General features: G+C 40.5%; 1 protein-coding gene and 1 pseudogene across 49 annotated transcripts in view, besides 2 other annotated features; both read left to right on the top strand.

The window, feature by feature from the left end:
• Positions 1-15,120, top strand: part of NCOA2 (nuclear receptor coactivator 2) — a 346,665-nt gene extending 331,545 nt beyond the window's left edge. For all 49 annotated transcript variants that reach the window (XM_047421240.1, XM_047421258.1, XM_047421256.1 and 46 more), the window contains 4 exons: positions 37-214; positions 820-1,018; positions 3,511-3,600; positions 11,259-15,120. In XM_047421240.1, coding sequence (XP_047277196.1) covers positions 37-214; positions 820-1,018; positions 3,511-3,600; positions 11,259-11,270 — 479 coding nt within the window. In that variant the 3' untranslated portion in view covers positions 11,271-15,120. The remainder of the gene's footprint in view (positions 1-36; positions 215-819; positions 1,019-3,510; positions 3,601-11,258) is intronic.
• Positions 605-789: a silencer, noted in NCBI's record as "fragment chr8:71036348-71036532 (GRCh37/hg19 assembly coordinates)". NCBI's record gives its function as "represses an EF-1alpha promoter that drives an FKBP-Casp9 reporter gene in an ReSE screen in HepG2 liver carcinoma cells {active_cell/tissue: HepG2}" and the evidence as "EXISTENCE:reporter gene assay evidence [ECO:0000049][PMID:32094911]".
• Positions 19,486-19,993: an enhancer, noted in NCBI's record as "H3K27ac-H3K4me1 hESC enhancer chr8:71017144-71017651 (GRCh37/hg19 assembly coordinates)". NCBI's record gives its function as "activates a minimal SCP1, AML or CMV promoter by ChIP-STARR-seq in naive H9 embryonic stem cells {active_cell/tissue: H9 hESC(naive)}" and the evidence as "EXISTENCE:reporter gene assay evidence [ECO:0000049][PMID:30033119]".
• H2AZP2 (H2A.Z histone pseudogene 2) lies at positions 20,634-21,483 on the top strand (annotated as a pseudogene).

The raw sequence follows: 22,034 nt of genomic DNA, 5'->3' as shown, positions 1-22,034 counted from the left end.
CTCTTTTGGATTTCTGTTTCTGTTTTTTTTTTTAAGGAATAAGTCAGCAACCTGATCCAGGCTTTACTGGGGCTACGACTCCCCAGAGCCCACTTATGTCACCCCGAATGGCACATACACAGAGTCCCATGATGCAACAGTCTCAGGCCAACCCAGCCTATCAGGCCCCCTCCGACATAAATGGATGGGCGCAGGGGAACATGGGCGGAAACAGGTAACCGCAAATCCTTCTCCTTTTCATACCGCCACTGTGACAGCTGAAGGACATCCCCCACCTTCATGCCTGCACCCGAGGAGCTTTCTGTTTGTTTTTATCAAACGTAGTGATAAAGGATGGCTTCTAGGTCACCGCCTTCCACAGCAATTTCTATCATAAATTGGTCGGTGGTACCTTGTTAGGGATGTTCTTGTTCCTCCAAAGAATGTTCCTTGCTAAGCTTTTGTAAATTCTAGTGACTCCTGCTCTAGGAAAAGTAAACTGGCTTATTTAGAAGTTTGCTTGATATCGCTTGCATGAGCAAAGACTTTAAAAAAAAAAAAACAGAAAGAAAGAAAGGAGACAGGTAGTCTATAGAAAGTTTCCCTGGTGATCATTTATCACAGCAACACACAGAATTGCCCCCACAGCTTCATTGAATGCCACTTCCCCTGCTGTCTCGGCTTCAGCAAGCCCACCACCTGCCGGCTGTCTCAGCCTGGGTTCATGCAGTTCAGGTTTATTCACTCAGAGTAAACGCCTGAGAAACAAGTGCCCTGAGCTGCCTGCCTCTGGATACCAGCAAGCTGTAACATTCATTCAATCTTTCCATTGTATTCCAGCATGTTTTCCCAGCAGTCCCCACCACACTTTGGGCAGCAAGCAAACACCAGCATGTACAGTAACAACATGAACATCAATGTGTCCATGGCGACCAACACAGGTGGCATGAGCAGCATGAACCAGATGACAGGACAGATCAGCATGACCTCAGTGACCTCCGTGCCTACGTCAGGGCTGTCCTCCATGGGTCCCGAGCAGGTGAGTGCCCAAGGAGAAGCAACCCAGTGGCTTCATATCACGGCTTTTTTTCTACTTCTGCATCAAATATATCTTTCCATGTATCTGACTTTAGCCACCAACTCCCACATTTACTTTGAGGAGTGTTTTTCACCCTTCACCTGTGTTAGTGACATTAATAAAAATCTTTGTTAATGATTAAATAAACAGAAAGGATTCCTGACTGCTTGAGGAGCTTTTAAAATATTTTGTAACTTTCTTATCATTGACATTTTTCTCTTGAGGAATTCACCAGTATCTAAAATGAATCTCTAAAGATGAAATAGTGAGTGTACTTTTAAAATAGCTCTATTTGGGGGTTATCGTTTGGGGGGGTTTTGTTTTGTTTGATAGAGAGTCTCACTCTGTCACCTAGGCTGGAGCGCAGTGGCACTATCTTGGCTCACTGCAACATCCGTCTCCCGGCTCAAGCAGTCCTCCCACCTCAGCCTCCTGGGTAGCTGGGATTATAGGCACATACTACCGTGCCCGGCTAGAGGATTATAGTTTAATAATGGATTTATTTCTAAGTGTAAAACCAGATGAAAAGCAAAGGCCAAACTACCTGCCATCCAGTTAGTTTGAAATGATCCTTCATTTATGCAAAGAGACCGACACAGATAATCCAAAAACTATTCTTTTTACTTTGGAACGTGAAGGCAATGATTTTTTAAAATAATTGTTTTGCGTTGAACAACATCAAAATGATTCTGTTCCTAACTTCACTAGATGGCAGAGAGACTCAAAGCATTTGAGATAGCAGTAGCCAGCCTGGAATCCAAAAATCTGTGGCTGATTCAGAGGTAAAAGTAGAGGTTAATAATTGTACCATGGTATTTACAGAAGATCTTGTTTTTAAAGGCCCAAAATGCTGACCACTCTACCACTGATCCTCAGTAGTTCACACAAGTAAAAAATATGGCAAGACCTTGACTCTTATTTCATATAAGGAGAAAGTGCAGTATGGAAAGTGTAAATGACTTAAGCATGAAATCACTGACAGGTCTGTGAATGTCTGTTAGAACAAGATTGTGAGAATGGTGAAAGATTGAAGAGTTTGATTAGATCTATTTAATTCTGTTAGTAGACCACAATTTTTGTGAAAATTTTAAGAACTATTACAGAGCTTCCGTGTTTTATTTAAAACGATTAATAAAAATGGAAAGTGGTACATGAGAAAATTTAAAGCCCTTTGCATTTTAAGAAGGTTGTGTGCTTGTAGTAATAACTTACACTTCTGTTGTTGAATTGATGGCAGTTAAATGCTTATTTGGATACATTAAGCAGACATAAAGAAATACAGACTTTTAGCCTGGCATGTTGGCTTGTGCCTATAATCCCAGCTATTCAGGAGGCTGAAGTGGGAAGATGGCTTGAAGCCAGGAATTCAAGACCAGTCTGGGCAACATAGTAAGACTCTGTCTCTGAAAAAAAAAAAAAAAGTTTAAATTAGCTAGGCATGGTGGCAGGTGCTTATAATTCCAGCTACTTGGGAAATTGAGGCTGGAGGATCTATTGAGCCCAAGAGTTTGAGGCTGCAGTGAGCTAAGATTGTACCACTGCACTCCAGCCTGGGTAACAGATCAAGACCCTATCTCTTAAAATATATGCGTGTGTTTATAGAGAGATATCTATGCTTTTATTTCTTCAATGGAGAAATGTAGGGTTGATGTTTTATTTCCTGCAAAAATGGGCCACTAATGACTCCTAATTTGCTTGCTGAGGAAAAGCGTACAAAGTAAGGGCTACTGAGATAGTCTAGTGTAATACGATCTTAGTCCAGTCTGCTCAGCAATGAATTGATGCATTTTTATTTGATGTATTTTTAACAATCCAGATTGTTTTGAAACTTCTGCATGATTTTAAACCATTTGAATCCCATGGTTAATTTGGAAGCCCCAAGGCACAACTGCAGTGTGTCTTCCTACAAAAATCATTATTCTATTAGCATTTGCAAATTTACTTTCTAATGTGTAAAGAAATGTACAAATGCAAATGAATAGTCCATTTGGTCAGAGTAAATTGACAAAGTCCAGCACTAGTTTGGGTATTTACACTTGCTCTTGATAATTAATAACTTGCCTAAGTAGCAAAGATGTCAGGAATTTCTCAGATGACTTCAAAGTCCCAAATGTGAGTCATTGGTCTAATTTGAATAAGCCAAGAAAGCATGCTGGTTATGGCACAAAAATGGCTCTATTATTATTAAGTCAATTGAATTTGATTTCTGTACAGCATGCAGATAAAGGTTAATTTTGAAGGCAGCTAGTATTTCATGAGTATTTTCATGTTCCTCTAGACTCCGCAAAATACGTACATGGGAGAGCTTGTGTAGGATGAGGCCATTGTTCTGCAGTTCCTTTTCCCCGTTTTTACACCCCTAAAAACAGAGGAAGGGCGGCGGCCACTTGTTTTCCAGTGCACTCTTGGACATTCTGCTCTGCGTAGCCACTGTCCTGTCTTCTTGTCCTTAGGTTAATGATCCTGCTCTGAGGGGAGGCAACCTGTTCCCAAACCAGCTGCCTGGAATGGATATGATTAAGCAGGAGGGAGACACAACACGGGTAAGAAAGAACAGTGAAATATATGAATATGGAAGTAAAGCAAACATGAATATTTGATAGACCAAAAGTGGCATAGATATATTGTCAACCAGTAGATTAAAGATAATCGTAAAATATCTTCTGGTTTCATCTGGCATACAGTGCTTTTGTGTGAATGATTATTTCTTTAAGCTCATTTTAACTCAGCTAATGGTACCATATGAATTAAGAACACTAAATTTTTTTTTATTTATTTATCTTTTTTTTCTGTAGTCTTCGTAGCCAACAAAAGAACAGTAATTTTGCCCTGGAATGATACTATGATAGCAAAGGAAGAAATAATGTGGCAAATAATTAGTTGTGTTAGGGCAAACTTTTATTTTTGCTATTTCTGAATTATAAGGCTAGATTTTTAGGAGGATTAAGAGGAATTAACTTACATTGTTCACTCCCTTAATTAAGTCTTCTTAAGGGTTTTCTATATTTCGTTGTGTTTAGGAACAATCTAGTACATTATTTACATTATTGTGTTATTTGCCTATTACACCTTAAACACTTCTCTTTTTGTTTTGTTTTTTTGTTTTGTTTTGTTTTGTTTTTTTGAGACAGTGTCTTGCTTTGTTGCCCAGGCTGGAATGCAGTGGCACAGTCTTGGCTCACTGCAACCTCCACCTCGCGGGTTCAGGCAACTCTCCTGCCTCAGCCTCTTGAGTAGCTGGGATTACAGGCACATGCCACCATGCCTGGCTAATTTTTGTATTTTTAGTAGAGATGGGGTTTCACCATGTTGGCCAGGCTGGTCTTGAACTCCTGACCTCAGGTGATCCACCCACCTCAGCCTCCCAAAGTGCTGGGATTATAGGCGTGAACCACCACACCTGGCCTATTAAACACTTGTTCTAAAGAGAATGATATTACCATGTTCAGCCAATGAAACTGTAGAATAATTAGTACTTAGACGTAATTGAAATGTGTACCTAGCAGCAGATCTCTTGCAGGAAGAAGTCTGAGCAGTTTGGCACATAGATAAATGGGCCTATGTGGCCCTTTAAGGTAAGAGATATTACCCTTCACAGTAGGTAGCTCTTTTTTAAAAAATCCTATCCCATACAACCTGTTAAGTGGAAGAAAATATTTGCAAACCATTTATCCAACAAGGGACTAATATCTATAATATACAGAGAACTCAACAGGAATAAAACAGATAATCCCATTAAAAAGTGGGCAAAGTTTGTGACCAGCCTGGCCAACATAGTGAAACCCCATCTTTACTAAAAATACAAAAATTAGCCAGGTGTGGTGGCACGTGCCTGTAGTCCCAACTACTTGGGAGGCTGAGGTGGGAGAATCACTTATACTTTGGAGGTGGAGGTTGCAGTGAGTGGAGACCATGCCATTGCACTCCAGCCTAGGTGACAGAGTGAGACTCCATCTCAAAAAAAAAAAAAAGTGGACAAAGGACATGAATAATTTCTCAAAAGAAAATGTACAGGTGGCCAGCAGTTATATTAAAAATGCTCAGCATCAGTAATCATCAGAGAAATACAAATAAAAACCATAAGGAGATACCATCTTACCCCAGTCAGAATGGCTATTATTAAAAACACAAAAAATAACAGATGTCGGCAAGATAGAGTAAAAAAGGGAACTCTCATACACTGTTGGAATGTAAACTAGTAGAGCCAGTATGGAGATTTCTCAAAAAACTAAAAACAGAATTATCATTTGATCCAGGAGTCACACTGCTGGGTTTCTACCCAAAGGAAGAAAGGTCAGTATATCAAAGGGATACCTGCACTCTTGTGGTTATTGCAGCACTATTCACAATAGCAAAGATACAGAATCAACCTGTGTGTCCATCAGTGGATAAAATGGATAAAGAAAATGTGGTACATATACACAGTAGAATACTATTTAGCCATTAAAAAAATGAAATCATGTCATTTGTGGCAACGTAGATGGAACTGGAGGTCATTATCTTAACTGAGATAAGGCAGGCACAAAAAGACAAATATCTATTGCATGTTCTTACATATGAGAGCTAGAAAATTTGTTCACATGGAAGTAGAGAGTGGAAAAATAGATAACAGAGACTGAGAAGGGTGACTGTGAGGGCAGGAGAGGAGGAAGAGAAGTGGGTGAGAGGTTACAGACATACAGTTGGAATAAATGTAATGTTAGCAGAGTAGCATAACTATAGTTAAAAATGTATTGCATCTGGGTAATGGACACCCTAAAACCCTGTCTTGATCCCTCACTATGCATTATGTAATGAAATTTCATATGTACCCCCATAAATTTGAACAAATAAAAATAAAATAAAAAATCCTCTCCTGGCCAGGTGCAGTGGCTCAAGCCTGTAATCCCAACACTTTCGGAGGCTGAGGCGGATGGATCACCTGAGGTCAAGAGTTTGAGACTAGCCTGGCTAACATGGTGAAACCTCACCTCTACTAAAAATACAAAATTAGCCGAGTGTAGAAGCACACGCCTGTAGTCCCAGCTACTCGGGAGGCTGAGATAGGAGAATTGCTTGAACCTGGGAGGCGGAAGTTGTAGTGAGCCGAGATCATGCCGTTGCACTCCAGCATGGGTGACAAGAGCAAAACTCTGTCTCAAAAAAAAAAAAAAAAATCCTCCCCCAGTAGAGACAGTACAAGGTTGTTGTTCAGTTTCCTCCCAAAAAAAAGTGGGTATTTGATGATTTGGTTAATACTAGCATTCAAGTTGAGAAAGTAATAGCATAAGTTTGCTCCAGATTTTAACTTACTGTGTGCATATTCTCCATGCGGTTTCTCTTGTTTTTAAGAATCACAGTCCCGAGTGGCAGAGGTGCTGGCTGTTGGTGGGAGTCCTGTAGATGTTGTCTGTATATACCTAGAGGGGCTGGTGTCTTTCCTGGTGCCAATCCTGTTCTCTCCTCCACTGAGTACAGGAAATGAGTGGCCACACAACTCAGTCGTGGCTTATGTGCAGAAGTTGAAATCAGGAATGCACTTCCCAGAAGAACAGTGATGTTACTGATAATTGGGCTCCCACAGAGGGGCCATTTTAACCCAAAAGTGCCAGGGAGCTCAACCTCTGAGCGTATCATATCTCTATGGGAGAAAAATGGATTTGGGAGGCCAGGCTTACGTCTCCCTCCCTGAATTCACCACAGTGAGATTAGACCTCCCTGCCTCACCCTTCATCATGCGGCTGCATGCTAGCCACCTAGGCCAGGGCTCCAGCAGAGCAGGTGCCCCGAGAAAGCCACTCCGTAGGGTAAGGCCCTCAAATATTGCATGGGCCCCGTCTGCCACCCCTGTCTCCCAAGAACCCCAGGAATTGACCTGCCCTGCCTTGTGCTCTTTCTTCAGCTGCCATGTAACCTCCAAGAAGAGACTCACCTACTATAAAAGCAGAACACTGAGATGGTCCCACATTCTGCCTTTTAAAAATTTACAGAAACAACCAACATGTACTGAGCATTTACTGCAAGCCTATTCTCTATTAAAAGTTTTGTTTAGATTCCCTCATTTAAACCACACCACAACTGTCTGGTAGAGCTACTGTTTTGAGAGTTTAATGACTCGATCAAGGTCTTACAACACTGGGAAGTAAATCCAGGCCGGCTGACCCCAAATATGCATTCTTAACCCCTGCACCCTCCTGCCACTTCCCTAAAGGGAACACTGAGGGCTTGTGAGATTTTTCTAAGGGGTTTTATGCAGGTAACATTGGAGAAGGCCAACAATGGATAATTTTCTTCTTTGGTGCCACTCCCTTCTCTATTTAGATCTTGAAGGGACAAGAAAGATATTGATAAACAATGTGGACAGACAGTAAATATTCAGCTACATTTTTGGAAGCATCCTCAGCCTCAGGCATTGGGATTCTTCATCTCAGGAGGGAGGAACCTCCCAGAGCGAGGGAAGGGAATGAATCTTTTGGCCTCGAATTTACCAGGGATAGTGCCAGGCCCTTCGTAGGTATTTAAGGTTCCCCACCATTTCAGATGAGACTGAATCTCAGAGGATGAGATAATTTATGCAGGGCTACCAGCTAGTCTGAAGACTTAGAGAACTGGTGACCCAGACCAATCAAGGTAGAAAGTGCCCGGCTGGGGGTTTAGGGGTAGGCCTGCAACCAGCCCTGTGGTGCGGGCCACACGGCAGGCTGGCAGGACCAGGGGTTCACCTTCACGTGCATCCTGGTGGCCCATGGGGGCCCTTTAAACCCAAAATGGAAAGAGTAGTGTTAGGATGTAAGACATCAATTTTCAGTAAATATAGGATGTTCTCTCTTCCCAGCAAAGGCGTCTTTCAGGTGAGGCACAGTGGGTGGCACGCTTGTAGTCACAGCTACTCAGGTGGCTTGAGGCCAGGAGTTCTAGGCTGCAATGAGCTATGACTACACCTGTGAACAGCCACTGCACTCCAGCCTGGGCGACACAGCACCTCTCTGTTACCATCTTGCTCAGGCCACTGATAACCTCGTCAACTTTCCCTGTTTTTTTCTAGTCCCCCTCTTGAATCTGCCTCATCCACCTGCACTTTCTTCATGCTGATTGTTAAGGCCAGAGAACAGTCCGTCATAGAGACTCATTTGCTTTAGAGAATAATCTGTATAGGATATCCCTTTTCATTCATCAGAAATAACCGGAAGTTACTTGGATTTGTCACTGTGCTACTTATGTGCACATTGACAGGGGTTCAGTCATCATCCCGTGTTTCCGTAATAAGCTCTGCTGCTGTTATGAATCAAGGAGCTTTTTCCAGAATTTTTTTTTTTTTTGAGACGGACTCTGTGTCGACCAGGCTAGAGTGCAGTGGCGCGATCTTAGCTCACTGCAGCCTCTGTCTCCCAGGTTCAAGCGAATCTCCTGCCTCCACTTCCCAAGTAGCTGGATTACAGGCCCATGCCACCACACCCAGCTAATTTTTGTATTTTTAGTAGAGACAGGGTCTCACCATGTTGGCCAGGCTGCTCTCAAACTCCTGACCTCAAATGATCCGCCTGCCTCGGCCTCCCGAAGTGCTGGGATTACAGGCGTGAGCCACTGTGCCCTGCTCTTTTCCAGAATTGTTATTGGTAACTTGGTTCTATTTGTTGAACAAGATACTACTGTCATCCTTTTTTTTTTTTTTTTTTTTTAAGACAGAGTCTCGCTTTGTCGCCCAGGCTGGAGTGCAGTGGCGCAATCTCGGCTCACTGCAAGCTCCGCCTCCCAGGTTCATGCCATTCTCCTTCCTCAGCCTCCCTAGTAGCTGGGACTACAGGCACCCTCCACCACGCCCGGCTAATTTTTTTGTATTTTTAGTAGAGACGGGGTTTCACCGTGTTAGCCAGGATGGTCTCGATCTCCTAACCTCATGATCTGCCTGCCTCGGCCTCCCAAAGTGCTGGGATTACAGGTGTGAGCCACTGCGCCTGGCCCTGTCATCCATTTTTAATTGACTGTTCCATTTATCTTGAATTGGAAATTATAATGGTACCTTGCTTTAAGCAGAGCTAGTATGTACAACCGTTGACTTACCAAAAATATATATTTAGAGAAGGGCAGTTATTTGACCTAACCAGAAGATTCTTCCTTTTATAAGAACTTACAGTATTTCTTTATATTTTAGATATATTTAAATAGATTAAAATTGAGTTTACTGCTCAGCAGCATGGTTCTCTTGTAATTACTTGTATTTACTAGTGTTATGAAAATTGATTACTAATAGGGTCGGCTTTTAGTTGATGATGATGGTGATAGTGGTGATGACATTTACTGAGCACTTATGATGTTCCAAGAACTATTTAAACACTTCATGTGCATCATTTTGTTTAATCCTTACAACCATCCTAGAAGTATTAGGTACGTAATGGACCCCACCCCTAAAGTGACACAGCCAGGGTACACCCCAGGCAGCATGACTCCAGAGGTGTGTGCGGAGCACAGCATTCTCCTTCATCAAACTGATTCTGGCCGGTGGCTGCTCATTGATGTTAGTCCATGCCAGAGAATACTGCCTTACAAAGTTTCTAAGCCTCAGAAACGCAATAGGTATAAATACTTCTCCGGGAGGCTGAGGCAGGAGAATTGCTTTAACCTGGGAGGCAGAGGTTGCAGTGAGCCGAGATCGTACCATTGAACTCCAGCCTGGGCAACAAGAGCGAAACTCCGTCTCAAAAATAAATAAATAAATAAATAAATAAATACTTCTCAGTAGACTTTTTCTAGACTAACTGGAAAATTGAGGGTTTTTCATATTTTAATCAGCACCATGGAGTGTTTTTATATGAAATCATAAAAGTGACACAAGTTAGGAATACATATCTATTCAGCTTTATATTATAAAGTATGCTAAATGTTCTTCTCTGAGAAGTAAAATCACAGGTATTCTAAGCTCATTTTTTAAGCTTAGGAGAATTGTGCACCTGATCAGGGGCTAATGTAATTCCACCTTTGGCCACTAGAACTCATGATCTGGCAATACTTTCCCCAGAACTCTCTTTTTGGAGTGCTAAGGTAAAATAGATTATTTGGAGCTGGCTTCCTCTCTAATCTTACTTAAATTAGATAATTTCTAATGGCCCTGATGGGCTAGAATTCTGTGTCTAAATATCTAAATCCCAGAAGCAATTGTTCCCAAAGCAGACAGTATTTCCACTAACCAAACTCAGATCATGTTGTTATTTGTAATAATTTGATTTGTAGCAAGGTACAATTATAATCTCCAGTGTTGTCAGCCTTGCCTAGTCGGGCAATTTTTGTGATAGCAGTGACCAAGAATGTCTTGTTGTGGATATATCCCAGCACCTAGCATGTAATAGATGCTGAATTAATATTTGCTAAGTGAATGAAAACTTTTGGAAGGAAGATAGTCGGTAGCCAAAGAAAATCATTGACAGATATATTTGCACCAACCAAAGAAACAACGCCACATAATTTGCTCACTATAACCTTTGGTATTCAGTCATTCACATCATCAGCACATAGCAGCCAAAAACCAGCAAGAACACCCCAAGAGGCCGGGTGCAGTGCCTCACACCTGTAATCCCAGCATTTTGAGAGGCCAAGGCGGGCAGATCACTTGAGGTCAGGAGTTTGAGACCAACCTGGCCAACATGGTGAAACCCCATCTCTACTAAAAATACAAAACCCCAGGAGTCAAAACCCATCATGATCTAGCTTGCTGAAGCCAGGGAGAACACACCCAGAGAACCTTGGGAGTATCTGATTAGGGAAAATCAGGAGGGCCATTTTATAGAAGAAGGGTTTGTACTGGATGAATTTGAGGAAGAATTAGGAAGCAGTGGCCCCTTCTGGATCGGATGCTGCCAAAAAGCAGCTGGGTGAATTGTTCTGTCATCTTTATTGAAGGTGGGAGAAATGAAATTGAGCTAGGATGTTGTTGGTTGGAGAGCGGTCATTAAGGAGAGATTCATCATCCATTTGCAGACGATGGCCTGCGAGAAATAGCATGTAGGATTCGCTGGGCTCCTCCTTGGCTCCTGGAAGCGTTGTGTGGAGGGAGGAATGGCGCCCTCTGCCTGTTCACCTCCACATCGAATGTACTCATCCAGATGCGGCCTCTGTGATTTGCTTTATTGAAAACAGTCAGGAATTTTGATGTTTTTGTGGTGGGCTTTATGATGTTTTTTTCAAAACCTCAAAGATGTTTCACAACTTTTTATCTGTTTTCCTACAGAAATATTGCTGACACTGCTGAAGCCAGTTGCTTCTTCAGCTGACCGGGCTCACTTGCTCAAAACACTTCCAGTCTGGAGAGCTGTGTCTATTTGTTTCAACCCAACTGACCTGCCAGCCGGTTCTGCTAGAGCAGACAGGCCTGGCCCTGGTTCCCAGGGTGGCGTCCACTCGGCTGTGGCAGGAGGAGCTGCCTCTTCTCTTGACAGTCTGAAGCTCGCATCCAGACAGTCGCTCAGTCTGTTCACTGCATTCACCTTAGTGCAACTTAGATCTCTCCTGCAAAAGTAAATGTTGACAGGCAAATTTCATACCCATGTCAGATTGAATGTATTTAAATGTATGTATTTAAGGAGAACCATGCTCTTGTTCTGTTCCTGTTCGGTTCCAGACACTGGTTTCTTGCTTTGTTTTCCCTGGCTAACAGTCTAGTGCAAAAGATTAAGATTTTATCTGGGGGAAAGAAAAGAATTTTTTAAAAAATTAAACTAAAGATGTTTTAAGCTAAAGCCTGAATTTGGGATGGAAGCAGGACAGACACCGTGGACAGCGCTGTATTTACAGACACACCCAGTGCGTGAAGACCAACAAAGTCACAGTCGTATCTCTAGAAAGCTCTAAAGACCATGTTGGAAAGAGTCTCCAGTTACTGAACAGATGAAAAGGAGCCTGTGAGAGGGCTGTTAACATTAGCAAATATTTTTTCCTTGTTTTTTCTTTGTTAAAACCAAACTGGTTCACCTGAATCATGAATTGAGAAGAAATAATTTTCATTTCTAAATTAAGTCCCTTTTAGTTTGATCAGACAGCTTGAATCAGCATCTCTTCTTCCCTGTCAGCCTGACTCTTCCCTTCCCCTCTCTCATTCCCCATACTCCCTATTTTCATTCCTTTTTTAAAAAATAATATAAGCTACAGAAACCAGGTAAGCCCTTTATTTCCTTAAATGTTTTGCCAGCCACTTACCAATTGCTAAGTATTGAATTTCAGAAAAAAAAAATGCATTTACTGGCAAGGAGAAGAGCAAAGTTAAGGCTTGATACCAATCGAGCTAAGGATACCTGCTTTGGAAGCATGTTTATTCTGTTCCCCAGCAACTCTGGCCTCCAAAATGGGAGAAAACGCCAGTGTGTTTAAATTGATAGCAGATATCACGACAGATTTAACCTCTGCCATGTGTTTTTTATTTTGTTTTTTAGCAGTGCTGACTAAGCCGAAGTTTTGTAAGGTACATAAAATCCAATTTATATGTAAACAAGCAATAATTTAAGTTGAGAACTTATGTGTTTTAATTGTATAATTTTTGTGAGGTATACATATTGTGGAATTGACTCAAAAATGAGGTACTTCAGTATTAAATTAGATATCTTCATAGCAATGTCTCCTAAAGGTGTTTTGTAAAGGATATCAATGCCTTGATTAGACCTAATTTGTAGACTTAAGACTTTTTATTTTCTAAACCTTGTGATTCTGCTTATAAGTCATTTATCTAATCTATATGATATGCAGCCGCTGTAGGAACCAATTCTTGATTTTTATATGTTTATATTCTTTCTTAATGAACCTTAGAAAGACTACATGTTACTAAGCAGGCCACTTTTATGGTTGTTTTTCTTGCCCACTCTGGTAGGGGAAAAATCTTTTATTAATAGGTGTCAGTTTCAGACAACTCCAATACCAAGAAACTGATGACCTTTTTTGAGCTATTTCTCCTTAACCCCTAATACCTTTCTTACCTAAATTTCAGAATGATATCTTTTTGATGTCTAAAAAGCAAAGCATTTTATAATATCTCATTAGCCAGGCTTTTTAGGAACAGAGAAGTTTTTCCTTGAAATTTGATTGTTTGTTTATTTGTGGCAGGGTGAAAAATGTACAAACTACCCCTATTTATACTTATATCTCTCTCTATATGTACGCATTATGGAAATATAGGAAGAGATATAGCCCAAAGATAGATGGTAAGTAGACAGTCTGAAAATGTTGCTCCATACTAAAGAACCTTTCTGGAAATTTGCATTTCGCTACTTTTTTCCACTTGAGAGGGGTCTCAATACAGGGAGGTGGCCAAGGAACAACACTTCTCAGTGGCCACCAGTTCATATATCCCCTCAAAAGGCTCTACTTTTCTCCACCAAACCATTGGGTTGCCCAACTGTGATGGAAAAAACAAGCAGATGTTGGCCCAGAACTCCAGGACCTCCCCGTGGGCTGAGGCTCATGTGGCATACAATTCAGTGTGACCAGTTTTAATGTTCAGAAATATGTGAATTAGAATGACTTTTAACTTCACACAGCACAAAAGAGAAATGGAGTTTAAACTGGATTTGTTTTGTTTTGAGTTTCAAGTCCCTTTTCACTACAACACCGTCCAAAACTATCTACCTATCTCTTCTTTTTTATCCATCTGCCCGCTGTATTTTAATGTCAATCCTAATTCAGACAAATCCGCAACTTCATGATACTGGTAATTTATAATAATTCGTGATCATTGCTGTTTTGAAGGAAAAGAGATGATAAATTCTCTTACGGTTTCAATCAGGTAATGGATTTTGTTTTACATCTAGTTAGGAGAAGAAAAGTAAGTGAAGGAATCCTCTGATCATATTGATCACTATAGAAGCAAAAGCCAAATCAGTTCCCTTCATTATCAGTATTTCTCATGCTGTACACAATAAATTTGTTAGACTGAGTACTTGGTTTTTGTTTAATAGAACAAATAATCAGTGTTTCACTTATATTACTAAATGTGAAAAACATAATGTGAAAAGTATACATACATTAACTTGGTTGTAAAACTCATTTTAAGTGTTCATGTAATGTGGTAAGTTTAAAAAGTGAAGTGAGCTGTTTTACTACAATGAATTCGTTTGACTCAAAGATTAAAATGCCCCTCCCCCTATGTGTATCTCTTATGGCCTGTAATAATTGAAAGCAATGTTTTTGCAGTTTATATAATGCAATTTTTAATCTGTGTTCAAAAATGGAGTTCATATGGGCTTAACACATGAAATGGGTGGCACAGATCCACTTGCAGAACCCAAAGATACACAATCAGTTTTGAAATGCAACTTAAGCCATTAATTGTTGGTGTGAATTTAAAATTTTCTAGTGTTTGTATGGTGGTATGCTGCCTAAGAGCAAAGCATCCTCTGCACAAAAGAAAATTACTGTAGTGGCTTCGATTTTAATTAGAATTTTCTCCCTGGTGTTTCTTTATAGACTAAAGCAAAATCTTTTAAGTTTCTTACTACAGGTAAAAGCTATGTGCAAGAACCTCAAAATGCTAAAATCTAGCATAATGCCTTAGATCTGTTTTTAAGTCTTGTATATTCCTACATAGCTGTCCGATGTATTATATTTGTATAGTGAATTGTGTACAATTTTTGAATAAGTGCATCATCACTTAACCTTTATGTTGTTTGAATAGTGATGATGATACATTTCTTCAGACATTTAACTGTCATTTTTTTCCTTTGTCATTTGTGAGTTTTATTTGTACAGTTCCTCATGAAGTTGCATCTGAGATGTGTGTATATGAAAAGATTATACAAGGGTAAAATTAAGCAATATATTAACTATGGTTCTTCAGGAGAAAGCTTACAGTGTTTCAGGTTGTGATTTATTTTCAAAATGGAGTTGACTCTGAACATCACTTTGTTCACCTGCATTGATGTTTGTATTTCTAGTGTGAGCAGTTTATGCAAAGGTAGATATATTCAGAGAAATTTTAAATACATTTATGCAAGTTAATATTGCTTTGCTGATGCTATTTGCTTATTTGATGTTAAATAATGCTATTGTAAATAAAGAATTCTGTTGTTATTGCATCATTTAATAAATTTTAATGCCTTCGGGTTTTACATGGCTTTAGAGATTTTAATGTGTTTATATTGTATCTTCTTTCATAATTGCATTTAAAAAGACCTTGTAATTTAATAATTTATTATATTTATATGGTAGTTGACACTGTTGACAGCACCTTAACATTTAATTCTTCCAATAACCCATTTTATAAATTTTTACATTTGAAATAAAGGATTATCTAATAACTTAATGGCAAATATAAGCCACATCTAGTTCCATTCAGTCCTAGATGACTCATCACCATACTGTTCCACCTTCCACTCCCAAATCTCCAGACACATTTACAAGAATAATGTGGACTTCTGACTGGCTTAGGAAGGTCGTATCATGCATTAGAATATCCATAATGGTTTAATAGTTGATAAGCAGTACAAGTACAGTACCTGAAACCTAGATCATAAACTATGTGAAATATTAGGAAATACAACCTGGAATTGTATTTTTAAAAGATCCCCCAAAAAATGATTAGAAAACTATATCAATGCTATTAACTATTTTAACAGATTAAAGGAAGAAATAAACATGATTAACAATGAGTGCCATTTGATAAATTTGTGTAGGACAAACGTTAGCTCTCATTCATTTTTAAAAAATAAAGCTAGGAAAAGTAAATGTCATAAATATATTTAAAGTTATCTGATGGCATTCCCAATGAAACATCTTAATGGTGAACTAAAAGTATTAATTAAAGTCAACAAAACAAGGAGCCCCACTACCAAGACTAAGAAATAAAGTACTAATACGAGAATAGACAGAAAACATTTTTGACAACTTGATTATGGGAAAACCCGAAAGGTTTTTGGGTTTTTGGTTTTGCCCTGCTTTTGGAATGAATAGAAAAGCTCTGTAAGATGGCTAGACTATACAAAAATCAATGTAATCTATCCACACTAATTTTGAAATCGTATCTTTAAAAGATGCCCATTCACAATAACAAAATAATACAATGCTTATTAAGTGGAATTACATCTAACAGGAAGTGTCACAGAGCTTTGTGAAGAAAACTAAAGGTTAATCAAAAGATGTAGATTTTAAAAAATGGAGACATGCTATCAACCCAGAAAGACCCAAATATAAGACCATTCATTCTTTCCCGAAATTCATGACAATCCCTATCAAGAAAAAGAAGTAAGATGCATTTGGAAGAAAAAATGTATGATAATAATGAGAAATTTGGAAGATGTGGGACTTCTAACAAAACATTTTATAATCTATTGATTTGTGGTATAAAATACTTAACACAGGTAGGAATAAATACTCTTTATTTATTCCTTTACTTAACACAGATAGGAATAAATACTCTTTGAAAAAGAGCCCAGAGACAGATTGCTGTGTAAATATAAAATCAATATATGACAGATTTCATTTCTAATTCACAGAATCATTGTTCTAAAAAAAAATGGTGTTGAGACAGTTGGTCACATTTGAGTGAAATACCAAGCTTAACTCCCTACCCCACGATATTAACAAATGCCAAATGGATCAAGGGTTAAACATAAATGTAAAATTGCTAGAAGGTTATGTTTGCATTATCAGAAAAGTGGAAACATCTTTTGAAAAACAAGTTATTAAGAAATGGATAAGTAAATATACATATATTTGTGTGTGTATAAGTATTAGATTTATTATATATAAGATTATATTAGATTTATTTATATATTATATATGTGTATACATATAAATCTAATATGTAATATATATAATATTCTACCAAAAATATTCTAATATTCTACATATACATAAATCATATATACTGTAGACTCACCAAATATAATGTATAACAGTAATATTAAAATACAAAGTTAAAAATGAAAAAAGGAAAATGAGCAAAAAAGATGAAATACTGAAAGTGAAAAATGGCTAATATTAGGTGTTGAACATCATAATAAGTTGCAAACAAAAATAGTAAGGAGATGCTATTTTTCATTTATTGATTTGGCAAAAAAGAGGTTAGTAATAGCCACAAATAACTTCCATGGACTATGGTGGAAATGAACATTCTTTGGCACCTGGAATAAATGTGTAAGTTTGGTAAGATAGGTATTTCTTTGTATTTTGGGTAGAACTCATGACTGAAGCCATATGGCTAGAGTTGTCTGGCCTCCAGTTTAATTCTTCAGAATGTCTCCTCTTACTTTTTAAACCTGTCTATTCCACCTACTGCATATTTGAACCAATTTTTTTTCCTAGCTTGTGTTTACTTTGGGTTTATCTTGGTAGGTTTTTTTCTAACTTCTTGAGAATGTATAAATTTTTCAACCTTTTTTTTTTTTTCCTACTGTATAAATTTCAAGGCTATACGTCCTCTTTACAGCTTTTAGCAGCATCCTACACATTTTGTCTACTAATGCTAACAAAGTCTCCGATTATGGTTTGGAATTTTTCTCACTTCTGTTGATTTTTGCTACTTCACTCAGAAGCTATGTTATTAGGAGCATATACGTTTCTCAAGACAAACTGGCTCTTTTATATAATGCCCCACACTGTCTCTGGTAAGCTTCCTTGCCTTGTTTTCTTTGTCCGAAATGCACATAGACATGCTAAAGCTGGATTCATTTTGCAGGTTGTATCTTTATTCATCCTTTAACTTCCAACCTTGTAGACAGAATATAAGTGGTTCCTTACTAATTTTTAATCTGGTTTGTTATCAGTTACTGAGGTCTCTTTCTCCCTTTAAGTATATTATCTCTGCTTTTGTACTTTGAAACACTATTTGGCACATAGACAGTACCAATATAACAGTTACATGCCCTTCTGATGCATTGACCCTTTCATCATTTGGTCAGAGATCAGAAAGTGAGGGAGCCTGATATGGAAGAAACTGGGAGGTGTGTTCCAGGTAGAACAAACAGCAGGTACAAAGGTCAGGAGACAAAACCAACTTGTGATGTCTGAAGGACGGTGAAGCCAGTGTGTGGTTAGAAAGACACTTGAGGGGCAACCTCAGGAGGCGAGGGCCAAAACGCAGCCTGGGGCCAGATCATCCAAGGTCTCAAGGACCAAAGCAAGGAACTTGGTTCTTATTCTAAGTATGGAAGCCAGTGGAGAGTTTCTGTTTGTTTTCGTTTTTGTTTTTTTTGTTTTGAGACGGAGTTTCGCTTTTGTTGCCCAGGCTGGAGTGCAATGGCGCAATCTGGGCTCATTGCAACCTCCACCTCCCAGGTTCAAGCAATTTTCCTGCCTCAGACACCTGAGTAGCTGGGATTAGAAGCATGTGCCACCACGCCCCGCTAATTTTGTATTTTTGGTAGAGATGGGGTTTCTCCATGTTGGTCAGGCTGGTCTCGAACTCCTGACCTCAGATAATCCACCCCCCCCGGCCCTTGGCTTCCCAAAGTGCTGGGACTACAGGCATGAGCCACCACACCTGGCCTGGAGAGTTTTTAAAAGGGAGTAATAGGACCTAACTTTTGTTTTCAAAAGGCCAGCAACTATGTGGAGAAATGTCTCAATTTAAAAAATAATTATGGCTTGGCGCAGCGTCTCACACCTGTAATCCCAGCACTTTGGGGGGCCGAAGCAAGCGGATCGCCTGAGGTCAGGAGTTCGAGACCAGCCTGGCCCACATGGTGAAACCCTGTCTCCACAAAAAAAAAAAATAAATAAAATCAGCCGGGTGTGGTGGCGCGTGCCTGTAATCCCAGCTACTCGGGAGGCTGAGGCAGGAGAATCGCTTGAACCCAGGAGGCAGAGGTTGCAGTGAGCTGAGATTATGCCACTGCATTCTAGCCTGGGCAACAGGAGCAAAACTCAGTCTCAACAACAACAACAAAAAGTTAAAATAAATTTTAAAAATGAAATACCACACGGGGCCAAATTTTTTTTTTTAAAAAGTCCAGGGAAATCAGTTAATAGCCTATTAAAGAGGTCAGTTAGAATGGAGGATTGAACCCATGACTACCTCATCTCCCTCCCATATCCCACTAACACAAATGCCTTTTTTTTTTTTTTTTTTTTTTTTTGAGACAGAGTCTCACTCTGTGGCCCAGGCTGGAGTGCAGTGGTGTGATCTCGGCTCACTGCAACCTCTGTCTCTCAGGTTCATGCGATTTTCCTGCCTCAGCCTCCCAAGTAGCTAGGACTAGAAGTGTGCACCACAACAGCCAGCTAATTTTTGTATCTGTAGTAGAGATGGGGTTTTACCGTGTTGGCCAGGCTGGTCTCGAACTCTTGACCTCAAGTGATCTGCCCACCTCGGCCTCCCAAAGTGCTGGGATTATAGACATGAGCCACTGCACCCAGCCAAATGCCTTTTTTTTTTTTTTTTTTTCACACACAGGATCTCTGTCACCCAGGCTGGAGTGCAGTGGCATAACCATAGCCACTACATCCACGAACTCCTGGGCTCAAATGATCCTTCCACCTCAGTCTCCTGAGTAGCTAGGACTACAGGCGTAGTCCTAGCCCAGCTAATTTTTTACATTTTGTAGAGACGGAAAGGTTTCACTATGTTGCCCAGGCTGGTCTTAAACTCCCAGCCTCAAGTGATCCACCCGCCTCGGCCTCACAAAGTGCTGGGATTATAAGCATGAGCCACCGCGCCTGGCCCAAATGCCTTTTTATAAAGGCATAAACCCACAAGGACAAGGATAATAGGAGATGAAACAACAGCAACAAAATGTAAGTTGAAAGCTGATAAAAGGGTGGTGACTCATTTTGTAGCCCCTGGAAAGCTGAATGGCAAGCAGTGAGTAACGTCAAGAAGCAAGCGAAGTTTCCCACAGATGTCTCCCGGCTCAGGAGCCAGCCAGCACCTCTGGATGCGTGATTAAGAAGCCAAATCATCTGGGCGCGGTGGCTCACGCCTGTAATCCCAACACTTCTGGAGGCCGAGGCGGGCGGATCACCTGAGGTCAGGAATTTGAGACCAGCCTGGCCAACATGATGAAACTCCGTCTCTACGCAGGGCATAGTGGCGCGCGCCTGTAGTCCCAGCTGCTCCGGAGGCTGAGGCAGGAGAATCGCTTAAACCGGAGAGGCGGAAGTTGCAGTGAGCCGAGATGACGCCACTGCACTCCAGCCTGGGTGTCGGAGTGAGACTCTGTCTCTAAATAAATAAATAAATAAATAAAATGTGGCAGGGATACCAAGGCAGACCCAACAGGAGACAGGACTGCTGTAAGGAGCAACCTTGACTCAAGCACTCTGTCGGCCTTGCCAAACTTGGATTTGGGACTGCACTTTTAGACCCTTTCACCTAACCTTCCTTCACGGTCTTTCCGCTCTTCTAGCCTCCCCTCGATTCCTCCCTACTTTCAGGCGATTGGCAGGTTAAGGAGCTAATTGTTAAGAGGTTTTAGATGCTGAACTAAGGAAGGTCTGTTACGCAAAAGATAGAACCCTTGTAGGAAAAGCCTGGGGCCCTTCAACATGGGTGGAAATATCTGGATGGATACTTCTGAAGCTATTGACTGAAGCTCCCTGAGCCTTCTCGGCTTGTAGAGAAGGCCCATCCTTCCCTACCGCGAGCTATCGGCTTAACAGCTACAATCAAAAAAGATAAGAATGGGCAGTTTGAATCGCGGTGGGACGAAGGAGTCTCGCCATGGGTCTGATTAGCCCTTTCTCTGCCTTGCTTGAGCTTCAGCAGAATTCGAAATGACTGGCGGTAAGGCTGGGAAGGACTCCGGAAAGGCCAAGACAAAGGCGGTTTCCCGCTGCCAGAGAGCCGGCTTGCAGTTCCCAGTTGGGCGTATTCATCTACACCTGAAATCTAGGACGACCAATCATGGACGTGTGGGCGCGACTGCCGCTGTGTACAGCGCAGCCATCCTGAAGTACCTCACCGCAGAGGTACTTGAACTGGCAGGAAATGCATCCAAAGACTTAAAGGTAAAGCGTAGTACCACTGGTCACTTGCAACTTGCTATCCGTGGAGATGAAGAATTGGATTCTCTCATCAAGGCTACGATTGCTGGTGGTGGTGTCATTCCACACATCCACAAATCTCTGACTGGGAAGAAAGGACAACAGAAGACTGTCTAAAGGCTGCCTGGATTCCTTGATATCTCAGGACTCTAAATACTCTGCCAGCTGTCCAGTGTTGCGGATTCCAGTGGACTGCATCTCTGTAAAAAACACAATTTTGCCTTTTTGAAATTCTATGTGAGCAATCTGGAAGTTTAATTAGCTTTCCAACCAACCAAATTTCTGCATTCCAGTCTTAACCATATTTAAGTATTACTGTGGCTTCAAAGAAGCTATTGATTCTGAAGTAGTGGGTTTTGATTGAGTGGACTGTTTTTGAAAAACTGTTTGGATTTTAATTGTGATGCAGAAGTTAGAGTAACAAACATTTGGTTTTGTACAGACATTATTTCCACTCTGGTGGATAAGCTCAATAAAGGTCATATTACAAACCTAAAAAAAAAAAAAAAAAAAAAGAAAAGCAAAGAATGAAGGAGCAGTTGCCTCAATTAAAAGTCATGATTCTTGTTCAGTTTCCAGAACTGAGCCAATTTTCAAATCCAAAATTCACTGATAGGAGGTGGCCAAGACCCTAGGGGTAAGAACCCTGCAATCTCATGGCAAATATATACTGCAAGGATTCCCCCAGTATTTCCCTAAAGGGAGCTATGGTCATTTACTCAGGTGACTATACACTGGGAGACATTTAAAGGATTCTTGGCACAGGGTCTGAGTTGACATTGATACCTGAAAACATGAGCGTTATCCCGAGCCCCTGCTAGATTGGGGGCCAAGTGATCAATGGAGTACTGGCTGAAGTCCCATTCACAGTGGGCCCAGTGGTTCCATGGTCCCAGTTGGCTTTTCCCAAGTCCCTGATTATACAACAGGAATTTTATGCTTGGCAGTTGGAATAATCCTCATGTTGGGTTGCTGGCCTGTACTGCCTTGGAGTGGAGTGGGGCAGTGCAGATGAGCACCATTAAAGACCTTCATATAGAAT

This window comes from Homo sapiens, chromosome 8, assembly GCF_000001405.40.
Source record: "Homo sapiens chromosome 8, GRCh38.p14 Primary Assembly".
Lineage (NCBI taxonomy): Eukaryota > Metazoa > Chordata > Mammalia > Primates > Hominidae > Homo > Homo sapiens.
Note: the sequence above shows the minus strand (reverse complement) of the source record. Positions and strands in the feature narration are given on the sequence as shown.